The 22,145-nt window shown below is 40.8% G+C and overlaps 1 protein-coding gene across 10 annotated transcripts in view; it reads left to right on the top strand.

The window, feature by feature from the left end:
* Nucleotides 1–22,145, top strand: part of NR3C2 (nuclear receptor subfamily 3 group C member 2) — a 366,559-nt gene that overhangs the window by 284,209 nt on the left and 60,205 nt on the right. For 5 of the 10 annotated variants that reach the window (NM_001437655.1, NM_001437654.1, NM_001437656.1 and 2 more), the window contains exons 5-6: nucleotides 6,213–6,563; nucleotides 8,501–8,645. The exons of 1 other annotated variant lie outside the window; for it this stretch is intronic. In NM_001437655.1, coding sequence (NP_001424584.1) covers nucleotides 6,213–6,563; nucleotides 8,501–8,645 — 496 coding nt within the window. Of the gene's footprint in view, nucleotides 1–6,212; nucleotides 6,564–8,500; nucleotides 8,646–14,356; nucleotides 15,322–22,145 lie in introns of those variants that run through there. 4 more of the 10 variants (NM_001437658.1, XM_011531978.3, NM_001354819.1 and 1 more) reach the window with 2 other exon arrangements.

The following is a 22,145-nucleotide window of genomic DNA, read 5'->3' as shown; positions in this document are numbered from 1 at the left end:
ACAAGCTAATTATTTATTGCCCTGGGACCCAGTTCTACTGGTGTTTATTGCATTGGGATTGATTTAGATGATCTTTTTCCTATTAGTGCAAATTAGTTCTTAACCCTATAGAAGGATGACATTGCTTCCTTTGGTTTCATGGCCAGATTACTTAGTTGCCCCCTATCTTTGAGAGTACTCCTTCTCTGGCAGTCAAAAGGCAAAGAGAAGTCATGCAGATAAAGAGATGAGGAAAGAACAATTAGGGTTATTGGGCTGAAATTCGTGCCCCATGTATGAGGGTGACGGGAGAAATGGTCTGTTAAAGAAGATAGTTGGTGGTGGGGGCAAGGGGAAGAGAATGCTGTTACTGTTTTGTGGGCAGTAATTACATTTGGCCTATGAACAGAAAATATATATATTTTAATATAACCTCAATATAACCTCTCTAATGTTTACTGCCAAGACCTAAAATTTCGAGACATGGCATGAAGCATTTCTGCAATCACAGAATTCTCACTTTATTTTTTTCTAATGAAATATTGTAATTGAACAAGATTCCATATTCTACTATATATCACTCTTTTACTATACTCCAGAGGGGGAAAGTTGTCCTGATTACCATTTCTAAGACTAAAGAATCTTTACGTGGTGAAAGTCCTAGTCAGCCATCATTCGGCCACAACAGTGGCTTGTCAAAAGGGTATGTAGCAGGTCATACCAGCCTCAGGAGGGTAGAGCAAAGCAAAAAAAGGAAATCTTGCCATGTCATGTTTCAAAGCTCTTGTGAATCTTGAGATCTCATTAGAAATCTGTCACAGTTTTAATAGAGTCCCACCAAGATGTGCTCTGCCTGCTCTTTTGCAGGTTGGTCAGGATAGGAAGCAGGGCCTCCCCAGTGCCAGTTCCTCGGGGAACAATTCACGAGAATCTAAGGAGTTGTCTCCCAGCAGTGCCAGGAAAGAGTGGCTGCCAAAATGTTACTAGTAATTAAGGACTAGGCACCTGAGGGCAGCAACTAAGCACATACTAGTTATTATAACATCCAGGTAGAACAAATGAAACTCCTCTTTTAAGTGAGTTTAATTGGGACTGGGAGACATTTACAGTCACATTAATGTACCCTGCACGTGCACACACACAGATACACACACAGCTACTGTTGCTGGCAATGGAGAAAATGCTGTTTGGGTCTGGCCACCTGGGAACATGAGATCACAAAGCTCAATGGCCATAAACTCAATATTGATTTAGTAAGGTGCTAAATAGTGGTAAGCTCCCAAATGTATGTTCACTGATGCTTTTGGTTAATAGAAACATGTTCCTTAAGTATCTTCAGCCAGCAATGTTCCTGTGTAATTAGCAAACATCTTAATTACACACTTGGATTTGAAGCTTATGCTAGCTAATCTTAAAGTATAAAAATTGTACAAATTAGATAAAGAGAAAAGGTTTAGAAGAGAGACTGCGTGTAGCATAGAGGTTAAGGGCGTGAACTCTGAGCCCTAGCTGGATTCAAATCCTCACCCTGGTATTTACTAGCTCTGCAATATGAAAAAGTAGTTATTCTTTCTGTGTTTCAGTTTTTTCACCTGAAAAATGAAAATAGTGCCTATCATAGGGTCATGGTGAGCATTGGAATGCTGAAAACAAGTAAAAGCTCTTTTGAACTGTGCTTGGAACATGAAATGCCAAATACATTTAGCTTATTTTAGATACGGTATTTTAAGAGTAATAACTCCACAAGTGGGTCATTACACAGTAGAAATTTTGAAAAGGAATAATAATTAACAATTCAGAAATTTTATCATAAAATCTCAGAAGCTTGCCCACATTTCCCACAGGGAAGTAAACTAATACTTTATATATGTAATAGTTTGTTAACGTTTATTAAAATTTTTAAATAAGGTCAATTTATTCAACAGATATTTTTATTGAGTACCCATAAGCATCATGGGAAGTGATATGATGTTATAGAGATACATAAGACATTATTACCCACTTTGAAGAGCTTAAATTTTACAATATAGCATGTTTTAGAACAGTATAAAATATTCAAGCATTTTAGAAACATTACTTTGATATAAATATAATGAATTAAGTAACCGTATTTTTGGCCCTTTTAGAAAAGATATTGGGTAAATACGCATGGCTGAAGATACACTGGAGATATTTATTACCTTGAACTATTGGAGTAAATATGCATTATTACTCAATTCCAAGTGTCCTACATATATTCACAAAATCACAGTATAAAGTTAAATGTACCTGAAATGCTAAATGTGATGTCGATAATCAGCTCCCTAGGTTTATGCTACAGACCACAGCCTTGTGTGTAAGTGCTGGAGAAAATATTAAGTATTCTTCATGACATTTCCTATCATTGACCTTAAATCAGCTGTGAGAATAAGCACAGCATTGTAGACTGAAAGCCTAAAGCAATATGAATTTTATCATTAGTTTGCAAAAAAAGTCACTTTTAATAAAATTTGAAAATATCACCATTGGCTGTTCTAGTCAATAAATCATGGTTATCGTCAGATGTGGTCCTATAAAGGATGAGAACATCTTAATGTGCTGGAATATTTTTAATGCTTACAAAATTATGGGGGAAGAATGGAAGTGACATTGACATGTTATTTCAGATGTTAATAATAATTTCCAACATGTTTTTATTTGTCATACCCATTTAGTTCTCTGAGAGATAAGAGAGGGAGACATTGTCATGCCCATTTTTCAAATGAATCAGTTGAGACTTAGAGGAGAGTTTATCTAATTGCCCAAAAGACAAATTAATGCTATTGAGTATTTTCTTAAGCTCTGATAGAGTCGTCAGTTGACGAGGTTTTTAGATTACCTGGGTGCTTTGTTCTTTTCTGTTTTGTCTAGTTTTTGAGGCACTTTGCTGAGTATTTTTCATTTGTTCACTCATCCATTCATCGGAAGTATCTGGGTTACTAGTGCCGGCTCAGCACTCCTGGGCAGTTCTTGGTCAGCATCTTCCATTAACATACGTGAATATGATACATCTGCTTTTCCTTGATAAACAGTTCTAAAAATCAGATTTCTGTGCCTCAAATCTTTTATTAAAGAGATAGTCTATAAATTAATTATTGAAGTTTAAAAATTTTGTTAATATTAAACTTCTTAAAGCCAGTAGTTATGTCTTATTCATCTTTTAAGCCTGGTTCCAATATTTAATATAGCTTTTGTTGTTTGATAGCTTATCTTTTATCTGAATTGTAAGATTTTCTGTGATGAACGTGATAAACATTAATGGCTATAATTATAAACACAAATTACTCTTATTTTTAAATCAAGTTAATTGGTGTAACATAGTCCTACTCTACGTTAAATTTGTGTCCTGTAAGTTCTCATGACTGTTAGGATTAAGTAGAAGGTGTCTGTTTGCTTCAAGAATTTTTAAATAAATTGAAATGTTACATTTGTAACGTAAGTAATTCTCACATACCTAAGCTCAGTTTGGTGCTTCTTAACTTTTTTTTTAATTGTTCTCTCATTCATCTGTCTTCCCAATTATATATCCATCTACCCATCTACCTCCCAACCTTCCCACCTCCCCCACTACCTCCATCATATTCGCATATGAAGTAATTTACCCTTCCTCTAAACTCTATTTCAGATACACAAGATGTGTGATCTTATATTTCTTAAACTTTCTGGTCTCTGTTTCCTTATTCTACGATGAGAATCATAATAGAATCTACTCATAAAATTATTAAATTAGTTAATTTATATAGAGCATTTAGAACAGTGCCTGGCATTAGTAAGCATTCAATAAATTTTAGCCATTTTTGGGGTTTTTTTAATTATACTTTAAGTTTTAGGGTACATGTGCACAATGTGCAGGTTAGTTACATATGTATACATGTGCCATGATGGTGTGCTGCACCCATTAACTCGTCATTTAGCATTAGGTATATCTCCTAATGCTATCCCTCCCCCCTCCCCCCACCCCACAACAGTCCCCAGAGTGTGATGTTCCCCTTCCTGTGTCCATGTGTTCTCATTGTTCAGTCCCCATCTATGAGTGAGAACCTGCGGTGTTTGGTTTTTTGTCCTTGTGATAGTTTACTGAGAATGATGATTTCCAATTTCATCCATGTCCCTGTAAAGGACATGAACTCATCCTTTTTTATGGCTGCATAGTATTCCATGGTGTATATGTGCCACATTTTCTTAATTCAGTCTATCATTGTTGGACATTTGGGTTGGTTCCAAGTCTTTGCTATTGTGAATAGTGCCGCAATAAACATACGTGTGCATGTGTCTTTATCACAGCGTGATTTATAGTCCTTTGGATATATACCCAGTAATGGGATGGCTGGGTCAAATGGTATTTCCAGTTCTAGATCCCTGAGGAAACGCCACACTGACTTCCACAATGGTTGAACTAGTTTACAGTCCCACCAACAGTGTAAAAGTGTTCCTATTTCTCCACATCCTCTCCAGCACCTGTTGTTTCCTGACTTTTTAATGATTGCCATTCTAACTGGTGTGAGATGGTGTCTCATTGTGGTTTTGATTTGCATTTCTCTGATGGCCAGTGATGATGAGCATTTTTTCTTGTGTCTTTTGGCTGCATAAATGTCTTCTTTTGAGAAGTGTCTGTTCATATCCTTTGCATAAATGTCTTCTTTTGAGAAGTGTCTGTTCATATCCTTTGCCCACTTTTTGATGGGGTTGTTTGTTTTTTTCTTGTAAATTTGTTTGAGTTCATTGTAGATTCTGGATATTAGCCCTTTGTCAGATGAGTAGGTTGCAAAAATTTTCTCCCATTTTGTAGGTTGCCTGTTCACTCTGATGGTAGTATCTTTTGCTGTGCAGAAGCTCTTCAGTTTAATTAGATCCCATTTGTCAATTTTGGCTTTTGTGGCCATTGCTTTTGGTGTTTTAGACATGAAGTCCTTGCCCATGCCTATGTCCTGAATGGTAATGCCTAGGTTTTCTTCTAGGGTTTTTATGGTTTTAGGTCTAACGTTTAAGTCTTTAATCAATCTTGAATTAATTTTTGTATAAGGTGTAAGGAAGGGATCCAGTTTCAGCTTTCTACATATGGCTAGCCAGTTTTCCCAGCACCAGTTATTAAATAGGGAATCCTTTCCCCATTGCTTGTTTTCCTCGGGTTTGTCAAAGATCAGATAGTTGTCGATATGTGGCGTTATTTCTGAGGGCTCTGTTCTGTTCCATTGATCTATATCTCTGTTTTGGTACCAGTACCATGCTGTTTTGGTTACTGTAGCCTTGTAGTATAGTTCGAAGTCAGGTAGTGTGATTCCTCCAGCTTTGTTCTTTTGGCTTAGGATTGACTTGGCGATGCAGGCTCTTTTTTGGTTCCATATGAACTTTAAAGTAGTTTTTTCCAATTCCGTGAAGAAAGTCATTGGTAGCTTGATGGGGATGGCATTGAATCTATAAATTACCTTGGGCAATATGGCCATTTTCACGATATTGATTCTTCCTACCCATGAGCATGGAATGTTCTTCCATTTGTTTGTATCCTCTTATTTCCTTGAGCAGTGGTTTGTAGTTCTCCTTGAAGAGGTCCTTCACATCCCTTGTAAGTTGGATTCCTAGGTATTTTATTCTCTTTGAAGTAATTGTGAATGGGAGTTCACTCATGATTTGGCTCTCTGTTTGTCTGTTATTGGTGTATAAGAATGCTTGTGATTTTTGCACATTGATTTTGTATCCTGAGACTTTGCTGAAGTTGCTTATCAGCTTAAAGAGATTTTGGGCTGAGACAGTGGGGTTTTCTAGATATACAATCATGTCGTCTGCAAACAGGGACAATTTGACTTCGTCTTTTCCTAATTGAATACCCTTACCGATCTCTACCTGCACTGCGGTGCAGTTGGTGGTACATTTCTTAAGTCCTCCCCCACTAGGCTGAACACTTGTTGAGGACCGGGTAAGGCTTGGTTATACTGAACATATTAGCTGGGTTCCTATGCAGCTTATACAGTCTCTTATAGGAGACAGGCAGTGAAGACTTGTAAAAATGAATGAAAGAAGGAAGGAGTTTGTTCTCTTAATACCAATAGTAAGTAATAATAATTGAGCTTTATATATTTTCTCTTAGTGGAATAAACGGTCATGTTCCTATTGACATAACAAGATCTATTTAGAGGAAAACTGTACTTTAACCAGTGTGAGTCAGCATATTTCAAACATAATTTTAATTTGGCCTTATCATTTATGGTTTCTTATAGCACGAAAGTCAAAGAAGTTGGGAAAGTTAAAAGGGATTCACGAGGAGCAGCCACAGCAGCAGCAGCCCCCACCCCCACCCCCACCCCCGCAAAGCCCAGAGGAAGGGACAACGTACATCGCTCCTGCAAAAGAACCCTCGGTCAACACAGCACTGGTTCCTCAGCTCTCCACAATCTCACGAGCGCTCACACCTTCCCCCGTTATGGTCCTTGAAAACATTGAACCTGAAATTGTATATGCAGGCTATGACAGCTCAAAACCAGATACAGCCGAAAATCTGCTCTCCACGCTCAACCGCTTAGCAGGCAAACAGATGATCCAAGTCGTGAAGTGGGCAAAGGTACTTCCAGGTAGGATTGCCTCTCCTTTCACAGGCTGCATCCTGAACTTAACAAGTCTGGGCAACTGACTTCGCCATCTCCAACCATGCAGGAGGAGTTTGCGTTCTATGAAATCCTGATATCAGATTTTTTAAATTGATAACAAATTGATCAAGTGTATAGGAAAAATATGGTTAATGTGCTCATTTCTTCCGAGAATGCAGGGTTAAGGATTTTATTGTTAAAATGACAGATACGGCTGGGCGCAGTGGCTCACGCCTGTAATCCCAGCACTTTGGGAGGCCAAGGCAGGTGGCTTACTGAGGCAGATGGATCACGAGGTCAGGAGTTCAAGACCAGCCTAGCCAAGATGGTGAAACCCCGTTTCTACTAAAAACACAAAAATTAGTCCTGCTTGGTGGCAGGTGCCTGTAATCCCAGCTACTCAGGAGGCTGAGGCAGGAGAATCGCTTGAACCTGGGCGGCAGAGGCTGCAGTGAGCCGAGATCCCACCACTATACTCCAGCCTGAGCAACAGAGTGAGACTCTGTCTCAAAAAAAAAAAAGAAATTAAAAATAAAAAAAATGACATACACTTCTTATGTTGATCAAAATGGAAAATTTCATCCAAAAATATTAATAAGGTAAAATACATTCTGTTCATGAAATCACAAGTTGAGCACATTATTAGCGGCTCATAACGAGGGTTAATCTAAGTGTAGACCAAGTAAGGCAAGGCCTAGCAAGTAAGTTGTAAGAGACCTGGAATGACTCTTCTGTCTAAAAAATAATCACCTGGCCCCCAGCACCCTTTAAATTGTCCCTGGAATTCCTATTTTAGTCATTTTTTTTTGTTTCATGGTATTTAATTAATAAGGCCCCTCTTAATCTACAGAAACATCACTTAGAAATTGCCATTACATTGTCCCAGTTCATTAATCTAAAGCAGTTTCTTAGATTACCTGTGGTCAGACAGCAGCTGTAAAAGTTGGGGAAAGCTCCACTGACTGATTCTTTGAAGAGGAGCTTGCCCAGTGAAACTCCACAGGCAGAAAAATAACATGATGCCCCTGGAGATGGGGGAGGTGATAAAAAACAAAAGAAGGCCTGGTGCAGTGGCCCATGCCTGTAATCCCAGACTTTGGGAGGCTGAGGCAAGCAGATCACTTGAGGTCAGGAATTTGAGACCAGCCTTGCCACCATCATGAAACCCTGTCTCTACTAAAAATACAAAATTTAGTTGGGCGTCCTGGCAGGCACCTGTAACCCCAGCTACTTGTGAGCCTGAGGCAGGAGAATCGCTTGAAACCTGGGATGCAGTGAGCCAATATCATGTCACTGAACTCCAGCCTGGGCGACAGAATGAGAATCCATCTTAAAAAATAAATAAATAAAATAAAGAACAAAAGAAGAGCTTGAGTCTGTCAGGCAGGGAGGACAGGTGCCAGGGAAACATGTTCTACCATAGAACTTTATCAAAGTCTGGTATTAACCTGGACCATAGGAGGCACCACATGCTCATTTTTTAAGCACCACAAACTCATGAACAATGAAATCTCCCACCATTATTGCAGATACACAGGGTTTGACAGTTATTAAATTACCCTTTATTTTAGTGTTATTAATTGTGGGTGGGACGAAGCAAGTTTTACAGGTTAATACAAATTCTCTCAATCTAACCAAGGGTTTTAGGCTGTCATCCACACTGAAACTTGCTGAACTTTGCAATTTTAGTTTGCCCTGGCAGTTTACCCTCATCTAGAATTTAGGATGAATTTAAAGTGAAATGTGGAACAGGACTGGGCCAGTGGTGGGCACTCTGTAAATGACTGTTGAATTGATTTGAGTCTGTCAGAAAAGAGAAAAGTGAAAGAAAGGTGGCTGTTTGGGGTTGACTTAAGAAGCATCTTCCTGGAATGTACTTAAATGCTAAGTGTATTTCTGTGATTAATTGTTTTGTTCTTCAGGATTTAAAAACTTGCCTCTTGAGGACCAAATTACCCTAATCCAGTATTCTTGGATGTGTCTATCATCATTTGCCTTGAGCTGGAGATCGTACAAACATACGAACAGCCAATTTCTCTATTTTGCACCAGACCTAGTCTTTAATGAGTAAGTACCTATTAATTAGCCTTCATAAAATAAACTGCAGAGTTATGCGTTATGATTTCTTTCAGTAATTTCTAAACAGATGTACGTTGGTGAAAGAATCTACTGAAACTGGCATTTTTTAACGTTAAAAATTTACAGATCTCTGGGAACTTAAAAAATTACTCTTTGCAACATTATACTGTATGCTTCTGAGTGTATATAAATCAGTATATATAAATTCCACATAATAATATGTGGGATATATCCCAAAAGAAAGATGATCCAGTTGGCTCTGAAAATTGACTGGTACAAAGCCACAATTAATAGAAAACAGTCTCTTTTGGTATCGACTCCAATTGGGAAGACAATCTAATTTCTAGGAAATGTGAATATATAAAGTGCCAGCTTTTACGAGCTCATATAATGGTTCTTTTGTTAACAGTATACAGCTGCTCAATGTGTTTTCATGACAATCGTAATTACCCTTCTTTGCCATCATAAAAGAAGCCAAACTGTTATTCTGTAGCAAAACATTTTTAGTTTTATGATGCATTTTAAAAGACTGAAAGAATCGTAATCAGTTTTTCTTTGGCCACAAATTCCTTCCTATTTTAAGTTTACATTTTAATACTGTTTGCATTCCTCATTAGCACATTTTATTTATGTTTGTATCTAGCAGTGCTTCTTTGTAATTGTTGGGTCAAGAAATACTTAAAAGGGAATATTTGAATTATGATAGTAACTACAGCCATATTCTGACAGATGGCTCTCTCTGGCAATAGGAAAACAGGGGTTTCAGTAGGGGAGGAGGCAGATGAGAAATAGGTTGGTGATGAAAGCAAGAAAAGTAATGCAAAAGATGAAAAGTATAGACAGATAGTGCCAACACACCTCAGTAGTACCAGTAGTAATTTACCTAAGAGTACCAGTTCGCCCACATGTGATGTACTGCAAAGACAATTTTATTCCAAACATAAATTAGAAACATCAGTTGTTGGTTCTCGAGGTGGCCTGCTTTTGGCAATTTATCAAAAAGAGTAATTCTAGTACTGCATCAGTGTTCACCAAAAGCATGAAGTAAGGCCAAACAACTGACTTGCACAATTTAATTAACTTGTATTCCTCAATAATCAATTGATATTATTGAATAGTAAGCCCGTTTTAAAATATGTTCTATAAACCAGAAGAAAACACATATTAAAGAGGGTTCTTGTTTTAAAAGGACGTGAGTAAATAAGAATCTCTATTAATGCCCTCAGCGTTTGATTTTAACAGAACATTAAAACAACCCATTTAATCTTATTAATACATCTATTAATTTTTGTCATAAAATGTGTATAACATAAAATTTTTCATTTTTAAGCATACAACTCAGTAGCATTAATTACATTCACATTGTTGTGCCACCATCACCACTATCCACATCCAATACTTTTCATCATCCCAAACAAACTCTAAACCCATTCAACAATCACTCCCCTTTATCCCCTCCCCTAAGCCTCTGGTAACCTCTAGTCTATGAATTTACCTATTCTATATATTTAATATAAGTGGAATCATATAATATTTGTCCTTTTGTGCCTGGCTCATTTTGCTTAGCCTAATGTTTTCAATGTTCATCCATATTTAGTATGTATCAGAATTCCATTCCTTTTTATGGCAGAATAACATTCCATCATAGATATATCAAGTCAGTCCTCATTAGTGGATTCTGTAGTTGCATATTTGCTTACTGACTGCATTTATTTGTAATCTCAAAGTCAATACTCACAGGATATTCATGGTCATTTACAGACAAATGCAGAGTAACAAAGAATTTGAGTTGCCAAGAGAGCACATTGCAGCTGAGCTCACACAAGGGACCACTCCGCCATCTTGTTTCAGCTCTCATGCTATAAACTGTCATCCTTTTCACAGTCTATTTATTGCCACATGTTTTGCATTTTTATGCCTTTTGGTGATTTCACCGTTTAAGATGGCTGGCCCCTAGACGTAGTGCTGAAGTGCTAGCTAGTGTTCTTTAGCTCAAGAAAGCTATGATGCGCCTCACAGAGAAAATAGGTGTGTCAGATAATCATTACTGAAGCATGAGTTATGGTTCTGCTGGCTATAGTTCAATGTTAACAAACTAGGAATATATGTTAAGTAAGATGTCTTTAAACAGAAATACACACGAAACAAAATTAGGTATAGATCAGTTGATGAAATGTAACCAGAGGTTGTAAGGACCATTACCCCAAACTTCCCCTAGGAGGAATAGTTGAATATTTGCTAATTCAGTGTTTGCTGTGACTTTATAGAACATGACTACAGCAAATATTTTATCCAATCATCCGTTAATGGGCAGTTTGGTTGTTTCCACCTTTGACTATTATGAATAACGTTGCACTGAATATGGGTATATAAATATATCTTTGAGATGCTGCTTTCAGTTCTTTCAGTACCTAGAATTGGAATCCCTAGGCATATGGTGCCTCTGTGTTTAACTTTTTAAGGAGACACCACACTCTTTCCACAGCAGTTGCACCATTTTACATTCCCAGCAGCAATGTACAAGGGTTCTAATTTCTCTGCATCCTTGCCAGCACTTTTTTCTTTTTATTAACTAGCCATCCCAGTAGGCATGACGTGGTATCTCACTATGGTTTTCATTTTCATTTCCCTAATGGCTAATGATGTTGGACATGTTTTCATATGCTTATGAGCCATTTGTATATCTCCTCTGTAGAACTGTTCATGTAAGTTCTTTACTCATTTTTTAATTGGATTGTATGTCTTTTTGTACTTGAGTTGTAGGAGTTCTTTATATATTATGGATATTAAACCCTTATCAGATACATGGTTTGTAAATATGTGTCTCAACCTGTGGCTTGCCTTTTTACTCTATTGAAAGTGTCCTTTAATGCACAAGCATTTATAATTGTAGTGAAGTCAAAATCTCTTCTTTTGTTGCCTTTTCTTTGGTGTCACTTATTACTTTTTAATTGTTTGTAAATATCTGAGTACAAAGGGCTCCAAACAATTACAGAATTGTAAGAATGTTTTTTCGTAAATGGAACTTAGGGGAAAGCACCTTATATTTGAAGGCTGGGAATAATGTACTTAAAGGGGTTTAGAAATAAATAAGAAACAAAAAAAAAGAAAAGGTCATATAAGCTTTGTGTATTTGTCTATTCTAGAAAATATTGATACAGATAAAATGGAAACAACAAAAGATAAATGCTTTCTAATATTAAAAGTAGTTAAATGTTATTGATGTAATTATTAGAATGAACATTTTGTTCTCTGTTCTTAAAACTTTTGACCTCAACCCAACCCAGACTTCTGTAGGGTTTCTTTCTCTCAACTAGAAAGAATAGAGCAAAGCTGTGTTTTTCAAGGGGCTAGGGTGGATACTATTCTGGGGAAACAATTGGAAATTATATAAAGCCTTTTGGTCAAATTGCATCAAAAAGAGAGCTTGATGTGGTAGCTCCATCACTGGGTACCATGATAGACCCTGTATTTTTTAGGGAAATCAGTAAGTTACAGAGGATGGCCAAATGCATATGCATACATGCTTCATCTTGCATTTATTCCAGGAATATTTATTAACTGTTGTCAGTATTCTAAGCAGTAGTTTTAGAATAGTGAGAGAAAAAAAATCCCTCTCTCATAGAACATACAGTCTAATGAGAGAGACAGAAATACTGAGTTTTATAAGTAAAATATAATTGTGATAAGTATTGAAAGGAAAAGTGCTCTGAGAGCAGTTAATGGGAGAGGTTGATCTAGTCAGGAAAGTCTTCCTTGGGAATGATTAAACTGGTGTTCCCCAGGTGAAGGAAGTATACGAGGAGGAAAGTTGATCTAGCCTGAGAGACCAGCATGTGCAAAGGCCCAGTGTCAGGAAGAAACATGGGCCTTCAATGAACTAAGAGCAAGACAGTGTGGCTGGAGGGGAGCCTAAGGCCAGGTCCTGTGGGTTTCAGAGGCCACATCAGAGACTTGGCTCTTTATTTTAAGAGCAGTGGAAAAGCCATTGAAGTGTTCTAAGTGATGGGGTGACATTTCCAGATTTGCTTCTTGAAAAGATCCCTCCAAATGCAGAATGGAAAATGGGTTAGAAGTGAGTCAGAGCAGATGTTGGGAGACCAGACAGGAGGCTGCGATGGGAATCCAGGTGATAGTGTAAGGTGAAATCAACAAGAATTGCTAGTAATTGGATATTGGCAAGGACTGGAGCAGGGGAAGAATTAGCTGTCTAGGAAGACTTCCAAGCCTCTGCCATAAGTGCCTGGAAGGATTTGGTGCCCCTCACTGGGATAGGGAATAAGGGAAGAAGACTCAGGTTTGGAAGGGCAGGGGAAGGGAGAGCCTGGGACCAGTTTTGAAGGTAAGATTGACTTGCCTTTGAAGAATTATCCAAGAAGACGTATTATATAGGCAGTTATTTTTACAGGTCAGAAGCTAAAGAGGTGTCCTGACTAAAGTTAAAAATGTTGAACTCGTTTTGGAGGTAGTAGTTAAAGGACAAATGTCGTCACATGGATCGCAAGGAAAGAGAGGACTTTAAGAAAGGAGATGCGACTGCCCTATCATGCTATATGTTGTTGTGATCCCAGTGAGGTGTGAACTAGAAAACTCAAAGCATGCCTCACACATTGCCTGCCAATGCCTTACACATTCCTGTCTTCTGAACATGTTCTATATGCTTTCGCTGAGCCATTACCCGTGCTTTCCTACCTTCCACCACAGCAAAGGCAGCAATCTGGCATTTTGTGTAAAGAGCAGTAGTGATGCCACTCACTTGAGGGCAGAGTGCACTGACGTGGTCCTCCCTTGCTCTCCCACCAACCCTTGGCTGTTTATACCACCTCCCACCTGGCATTGCCAGCTCTTAAGTACGTGTATCTCTGCCTTATTTCACTGGCATACCTCACTGAAGTCACAGACTCTGTCTTAATCATTTCTGAATCTCTAGCAGCTGGCACTGTGCCTCAGTCATAGTAGGTACTCCATAAATATGTGCTGAATAAATGAATTATTGAAAAAATGAACCAAACAATCTATTAATCAGTGTGAAGGGGCTTCCTAAGTTTACATTTCTAATTATGAGGATGAAGTTTATGATGAAGTGTGAAGTTTATGATGAAGCATGGCTTTTCTGAACAGAGACATTGCAATATTTAAAACAGAGGAACAAAACTTTGGGTTTGCCTTCAAATGTGACACAGATCTGAAAGTTCCCAAAGATCTTATTCTTCGGTATTAGCATCACTGGAGATGGAGGAAAGGTGGGAAATAGGGAATAATAAAGGAAACATTCTTTCTAATTTTTTACTAAACATTGGGGTGAAGATATTAGTTAATACTTTAAATTAACATAGAACTTTTCTTATTATAAACTCAAAACTTTTCAAATATGTATTAAATGATTAATTATTCAATTTTACCTTGAAATAGCTTATCATATATTGCTACAGATCGCTGCAAGTATTCAAATTTCTTATCAATTCACTACACATATTAAAACTCCCACTGAAGCCTGTAATGACTTTTTTTTTCTTTTTTTATAAGATCTGAAATGAAGGTTCAGTATTACTCTCTTTTACATCTTGGCTGGTATTTGAAAATTAAACATATATTAAAGACTTGCTTATACTACCTCAAGTAGTAGCCTAGTAAAAAATGTTTTTGGATGATCTTTTACTGTCCTCAGCATCTGAACTTTGGATTGTTTTGGTTCACAGACTGTTGGCGAGAGTGAGAGAGGGTTGAAGTCTTAGTGGCACTTCACATGCCTCTGTGGATTCTCTGAGTGTCTCTCTGGGATGAAGGTGACTTCCACCCACACCATCTTGCGTCTGAAGCACTAGTTGTGTGAGGGCAGCTCCATTAGACGAGTACACAACTCAGTTGCCATCGGCTACTTCTTATCATGTTTTCATGGGGTGCTACCTGTTTCTTTGTGTCCCCAGTCGCTGGGTCAGTGTGCTGGCGCTGTCCAGTTGTCCTCAGTGAGAGTTCTCCCCGGGCCATCCTGCCAATGTCACAGTGCCAATGAGGTCCCTCTGTACCGAACGTTCTGAAGCTCCAGGAGGCCTGGCTTCCAAATGGGTTGTGTGTTCCAAAGTCTGTCCCACCGTGGTGGAGGCTGGCATCAGAGGATTCTAATGGAGGCCAGGGGTGGTTGGAGGTATGGCGAGCCCCAGTGTCCCTTCCCACAGGGAGTGGTGGATCTTCCTGAGCCACTGGAGGTGACTTCTGTGCCTGGACCCTCCTCACCCCATCAGGGTTAGGGCCAGCGATGGTTGGGGGACAGGAATTCTGATGAGAGGAGTCAGGGATGTAGGATGAACCTGGTCAGCTCCTCCTTCAATGGCTGCTTTTGTTCTTCCTTCTCTCTCCCCAGCCCACTTCCCCTTCTTCTTTCAAGTTAAGATTTCTTACTTCTCCTTGGCTCACTGGGAAACTGTTGTGTGATTTCTGCAGCTTCCAGTGTCTGCCCCTCCTCCCTTTTCTTCTCACTTCTCCCTGCTCCTTCGTTTCTTTTCCCTTCTCTGTTACTCCTTCCTTCTCCCCTTCTCTCTCCTTCTTCCACCTCCCACTGCCCCATACATCCCTTTTCCTTCTACTGAGAAACCTCCTCCTGAGATTTCCATTGTTTTTTTAATTTCTGGGTAAGTATGAGGGAATAAAGTTTAAAAGAAGGAAACAAGTCTTCCTTCCGTGCCTTATTTTTCCGTTGGACTCTATGAAAAACCAGGCCTCGCACCAGTAGCTAGAGGACCAAGGCCTGCAGCCGACAGCCTGACCATGAAAGCAGCACCCCCCTGCAGGTGGCACAAGTGCTGCCGGTCTCACTGTGGCCCCACTGTTCCCAGCGGGGGAATCTGTCTGGGTCTGCAGCAACCTCAATTCTTGCCTCCTCAGAAGAAAGAATTTGAGGGGCAGAAGGAGAGACTGAGGCAAATGTTACACAGCAGGAGTGAAAGTTTATTAAAAAGCTTTGAGCAGGAATGAAAGGAAGTAAAGTAACCTTGGAAGAGGGGTTACTCTCTCTGTGACTTGGGAGATCAAGTGTGCAGTTTGACCTTTGACTTGGGGTCTTACACGTTGGCATGCTTTCCGGGAGATTGCGTCCCTTCTCCCCTGATTCTTCCCTTGGGGTGGGCTGTCCGCATGCCGGGTGGCCTGCCAGCATTTCGGAGGGAGCATGCACAATGTGTTTACTGGAGTTCTATGCATGCTCACTTAAGGTGTTCCTCCCTTACCAGTCCAGTATTCCTAGGTCATACCATACCTGAACTCCGCCATTTTGCCTCTTCATGCGCGTGCTTGAGCCCACTCACCCAACTCCTGAGATCTTATCAGGAAGCTGCTTATCACCAGTTTCAGGTTTTTCTATCTATTAGGAGACTGCCTTTCCCTGGCACTGGCTGACACCAGTTATTATTTTAGAGAAACAGTATAACAACTGCCTGACCTGAGGGTCGCCTGACATTCCTGGTGGCAGTGAGAGGGACCTCTCCTGCCCTGATCATGTCTGCCTGACTACCTACTATAACACTACCACTGCCTATTTTGCATCTGGCTCTCTTCATTCCTACCTGGCCCTTGGAGACAGTGGAGCTCAAGACTCTTGAATAAAGAAAAGCAACGTCATAAGTAGAAAATAGTCGATCCTTATCTGCAAAGGGCAGAAGCACTCCAGAATGGAAATTGTGTTTTTATACTACAAAAGTAGTGTTTAGAGGCCATCTTCCCACCTGAAGGAGGCTAGACAGAGTGAACTCTAGGGGAAGGGGCAATGGGGCTGGAGGAGGTTTTATAAGCTAGAAACAAGAACGGTCATTCAGTTATATACAGGGAGAGAGGAGAGGTAGATACAAGTCCCCAAAACCAGAATTATTTCCTTCCCTCCTTTCCCCTACTTCTTTTTAAAATAGTATTTATTCCTTTTTGTCAATCTATCATAGTGGTAAGAATTAGAGTTGGAGTAGAAAGTCGCTTTTAGCCAGGCATGGTACCTCACACCTGTAATCCCAGCACTTTGGGAAGCTGAGGCAGGAGGAATGCTTGAGTCCAGGAGTTCAAGTCCAGCCTGGGCAACAAAAACCCTGTCTCTACAAATAATTAGCTAGGCACAGTAGTGTGCACCTGTGGTCCCAGCTACTTGGGAGGCTGAGGTGGGAGGATCACTTGAGCAACCAGGAGTTCAAGGCTAGTGAGCCATGATTGCACCACTGCACCCCAGCCTGGGTGACAGAGCAAGACCCTGTCTCAAAAAGAAAGAAAAAAAAAGTCATTTCCAGACATTTTAGCAGAGGAAGTGAGAGGAGGGAAGTTCTGGAAGAAATGGATAACCTGCTGCATTGGTGCTTCTGAGTTACATCATAATGAGAGAAGTTCCGAGACTGAGCACGCAGAAGATAGGGACTGCCTGTACCTGAGAAAGGTGGAAACACCTAAGAGGGGAGTATTAACTTAAGACGAGAACTGAGGGGACACTTCCTAACTCAGTTCTTCATTTGTCTTTTTTTTTTTTTTTTTTTTTTTTGAGACAGAGTTTCGCTCTTGTTGCCCAGGCTGGAGTGCAATGGTGCGATCTCGGCTCACCGCAAACTCCGCCTCCCGGGTTCAAGGGATTCTCCTGCCTCAGCCTCCTGAGTAGCTGGGACTACAGGCATGTGCCACCACACCTGGTTAATTTTGTATTTTTTTAGTAGAGATGGGGTTTCCCCATGTTGGTCAGGCTGGTCTCGAACTCCTGACCTGAGGTGATCCACCCGCCTCGGCCTCCCAAAGTGCTGGGATTACAGGCATGAGCCACCGCGCCCAGCCTGTTGTTTTTGTTTTGTTTTGTTTTTATAAAACCCTACCTCTCATTTTAGACTACTCTTGGGAGAAGGAAATAAGTGATATTTATTGTCCTTTCATTTGGCAGATATTTATTGAGCAATTTCCGTGTATTAAGCACTGTTCTAGGCAGCAGGAATATAACAGTAAATAAAACAAGATTCCCTCCCTTCATGGGGCTTACAGTCCAGTGGTAGGTATAAGTTGGTGGCATAGCAGAAAAAGTGAAGGCGGCATTGTGAAACAGTCCTGCCTGCAGTGCTGCTAGAGAGCAGGGCTTGGATCCCATCCCTGATACTTGTATATGACAACAGCAAAAGTGGTACTTAAAATAATATGTCGTTTCAGTGAATTTCCTCAAGAGCTTTTCTAGTGCCCTTGGTTAGCCACATTGGCCTCCTTTTGCTGCACTGAGGATCCAAACTCCTTCTTAACTGGATGTCTGTTCTCTGTGCAGGAAGATGGCTCTTTCGAGCCTTCTTGTCTCAGCTCTAAATATTCCTTGTTCAGACAGATTTTGCCTGATCATCTATATTAGGCTGTTCTTGCATTGCTGTACAGAAATACCTGAGACTGGGAAATTTATAAAGAAAGGAGATTTAATTGGCTCATGGTTCTACAGTGTACAGGAGGCATAGCACCGGCATCTGCATCTGGGGAGGCCTCAGGAAGCTTCCCATCATGGCAGAAGCTGAAGGGAGAGTAGGCACATCACATGGCAAAAGCAGGAGCAAGAGAGATGGTGGGGAGGGGGATGCGCCACACACTTTTAAATGAGCACTGTCAGCGGGAGGACAGCATTTAGAGCAAGGCGGTGGTGCTAAACCATCGATTCGAAATCCACCCCGAGGCTGGGCATGGTGGCTCACGCCTGTAATACCAACACTTCGGGAGGCCATGCAGGCGGATTGCTTGATTGCTACTCAGGAGTTCAAGACCAGCCTGGGTAACATGGTGAAACCCTGTCTCTACCAAAAATACAAAAAATTAGTCTGGCGTGGTGGTGCACACCTGTGGTCCCAGCTACTCAGGAGGCTGAGGTGGGAGTATCACTTGAGCCCAGGAGGCGGAGGTTGCAGGGAGCCGTGGTTGCGCCACTGCACTCCAGCCTGGGTGACAGAGCAAAACGAGGCCCTTTCGGGGGTGGGGAAGAAAGACGTGCACCCCTGAGATCCAATCACCTCCCACCAGGCCCCACCTCCAACACTGAGGATTACAATTTAACATGAGACTTAGAGGGGACACATAACCAAACTGTGTGATCTAGGATCTATAGGTCCTAGAGCTGTCCGTCAGGTCTGGGATACACTCCTGCCACTTCCGTCGCCATTCGATCACATCTCTGTTTTCTCCCTAGTAACGCTCCTGCCCGCATTAGTGTGGGCGCTGGGAGGGCAGGAACCTGGCCTGTCTGATTTACCTTTGCATTGCCAGCTCCTAAAATGCTGCCTGGCGTTAGTTAAGCACTTGATAAACTAATTAATTTTAAAATGCTATTTTCAGCATTATTTCCTGCTGCTTCTCCGCATATACTCCACACCAGCCAAATTAACCTTTCTCTTTCCTAGGTCTTTCTACTGCTGTGCCCTTGCTCCTAATACTTCCCTTCTCCCTCCCTCAAGCCCAACCCAAAGCATACTTTCTCGCTGCTGACTTGTCTTACCATTAAAGAATGACTTTCCCCTCATACACTCTATAGCAGCGGTCCCCAACCTTTTGGGCATCAGGGACCAGTTTTGTGGAAGACAATTTTCCACAGACCTGGCAGGGTGTGGGGATGGTTTCAGGTTGAAACTGTTCCACCTCAGATCATCGGGCATTAGTTAGATTCTCATAAGGAGCATGCAGCCTAGATCCCTCATGTGCACAGTTCAGCTAGGGTTCGCAGTCCTATGAGAATTTAATGCTGCTGCTGATCTGACAGGAGGTGGAGCTCAGGCTGTAACACTCACTCGCCTGCTGCCCACCACCTGCTGTGTGGCCCAGTTCCTAACAAGCCATGGACTGTAATACAGTCTGTGGCCCCAGGCTTGGGGACCCCTGCTCTATAGTACTTCTTTTATATCTCAATCATTTGGTACTTACTGTGTCTATATATGTTTTTTACTCCAGATATACTGTAAATACCTAGAGTACAGAAAATATGCTTGTTAAAGTTATCCATAGTGTCTAGCAAAATACGTGTGTGTGTGTGTGTGTGTGAGAGAGAGGGAGAGAGAGAGAGAGAGAGATGGAGTCTCACTCTGTTGCCCAGGCTGGAGTGCACTGGTGTGTGCAACCTCCGCCTCCTGGGTTCAAGTGATTCTCCTGCCTCAGCCTCCCGAGTAGCTGGGACTACAGACGCCTGCCACCACACCCAGCTAATTTTTTGTATTTTTAGTAGAGACAGGGTTTCACCATGTTGGCCAGGCTGGTCTCAAACTCCTGACCTCAAGTGATCCACCCACCTTGGCCTCCCAAAGTGCTGGGATTACAGGCATGAGCCACCACACCCGGCCGCAAAAATACATATAACTGGCGCTCGGTAACTGTTTTTGGTTTGTTAATATGTGCTCTTTCTGGCACATGGGTCAGAATCCAATTTCCTGATGTGGATTGACCTTACAGTGTTTTGGAGACTTAACATGTAAGCTTAATGAAAAAGATTCAGTTTTGCAGACTTCTTTAAATTTTACTTCAAGAGTACTGCTGTATGTTAATATTCCATGTATGATATTTCTTGTAGCATTCTTGAGAAATTTCCTAAGGAGTTAATGAAGCTGGGTAATTGCCAGGGTAGTATGAAATTAAAGCAAAACAAATATGAGACTGCAAATGGAATGAACTGTTTAAGCTATATATTACTATATTGGGATCAGATAGAGTAGTAATGATGCAAGAAGTACATCCAAGCTTTATTCTGGCTAACTAGAGGGAGCTATTTTTCATTTTTAATAAAAGTCAAAAACAGTTTAAGATCATATATTATCTTCAAAAGGCTTAGTGTGGCTAATATTAGCATATTGCTTTTTACTTCAGTTAACATGCTCAAGGGCCTTGGTCTCTTCAGCTAAAAATACTCTTCTTTTCTATATAAAATAAAGTCCCTGGAGCAAATTTCTTTCTTTTTTTAACTTTTGTAGAGATGTGGTCTCACTGTGTTGCCCAGGCAGTGTAGTAGCACAACGGCTCACTGCAGCCTCAATCTCCTGGGCTCAGGCAATCCTCCTGCCTCAACCTCTCAAGTAGCTGGAACTACAGGCACGTGCCACCAAACTGGCTAATTTCTTCGTATTTTTTAGAGACAGGGCTTCACTCTGTCACCTAGGCTGGAGTGCACTGGCGTGATCATAGCTCATCGTAACATTGAACTCCTGAGCTCAGGCAGTTCTCCACCTCGGGCCCCCAAGTAGCTGGGTTTACAGGTGTGAGACACCATGCCCAGCCTGGAGTAGATTTCTTTATTGAAAATTTGGTAAATGGAGAAAAATTAATTTTATGCAGTGATTCTATTCCGAGATAGGGCAGGTGGAAAGGAATGGGCCAGTCAACTCTAAAACAAAGGAAGGCTCCAGACTCCCCCCTTGACACAGGCCACAAGACCTAGAGATAGTAGCTTTGCTGGCACTGCTCTGGATTGAAGAAGGGAAACACACTTGAATGTGTCTTGCTGTTTAAAGCATTTTATGAACTTATGTCTTTAGACATTTCTAGAACTGAAATTGAACCACACGATTATTTTTATTGTATCACATGAGAGATGATTTTGGTTTTATAATTTTCCTCTTTTCCACCCATGAACCCCAAGCTTATTTAATAGGGTCATGTGGGGAAGGGCTCTGAAAAGGTTGTTTAATTTTCCCTGGGTTCTGGCAGCTGACACTGTTCTGAAAAAAACAAGTGGAGGATGAAGGGAAACAAACAAGAAGGTCATATTTGGAGACCCTCGGCCTGCTTATTAAAGCGCACTGTGCACTTGGATCAGTGGAGCTGCAGTAGGAGTGTTGCCCGAGCCAACATACATACCTACAGGTGTGACAACCTTGTATAACATCATCATCACAGACATCATCTGTGCCCCTCTCCCTTGAAATAGACGTCACTTCAACAGAAGCAGTGGAATTAGCAGTTTAGAACTTCCCCACTTCCTGTCCACTGCAGCTGTATGTCAGTCTCCACTTACCTGGGCACTATAGTGGAAAAGTAACTGATAATCAGTTTAGAGGGAGATTTTGAAGGATTCTGAGCTGATGCTGGAAGCTTATGGAAGGTGTCGTGCTAAATACTATCTCCAATACTCCATTTTATTTAATCCTCACAACTCTGTGAGGTTGGAATTTATGATCCTGCTTTTAAAGATGAGGAAACCAAAGCCCAAAGTTTTGAACACAGGTGTCTGTCTATCCAATGCTCAGAGTTTTTTAGCTACATAAGGCTTCTACCTTTACTATGGAATTTGGATTTTCAGGCAGTTACACACAGTATAGAGCTTTGGAGCCTAATGATGGTTTCAGACATGATATATATTTGAAACTCTAACCAATCATCATTTGTCCATATTGTACTGCAATAACACAATCCCTGATTCTGGGTAATTTAAAGAACCAAGATTTATTTCTTACGGTTGTAGAGGCTGAGAAGCCTAAGATCAAGGGGCCCACATCTGGCGGGAACCTTCCTGCCGCATCATCTCATGGTAGA

Source organism: Homo sapiens, chromosome 4 (genome assembly GCF_000001405.40).
Source record: "Homo sapiens chromosome 4, GRCh38.p14 Primary Assembly".
NCBI classification, from domain to species: domain Eukaryota; kingdom Metazoa; phylum Chordata; class Mammalia; order Primates; family Hominidae; genus Homo; species Homo sapiens.
This window is presented reverse-complemented; position numbering and strand designations above follow the sequence as displayed.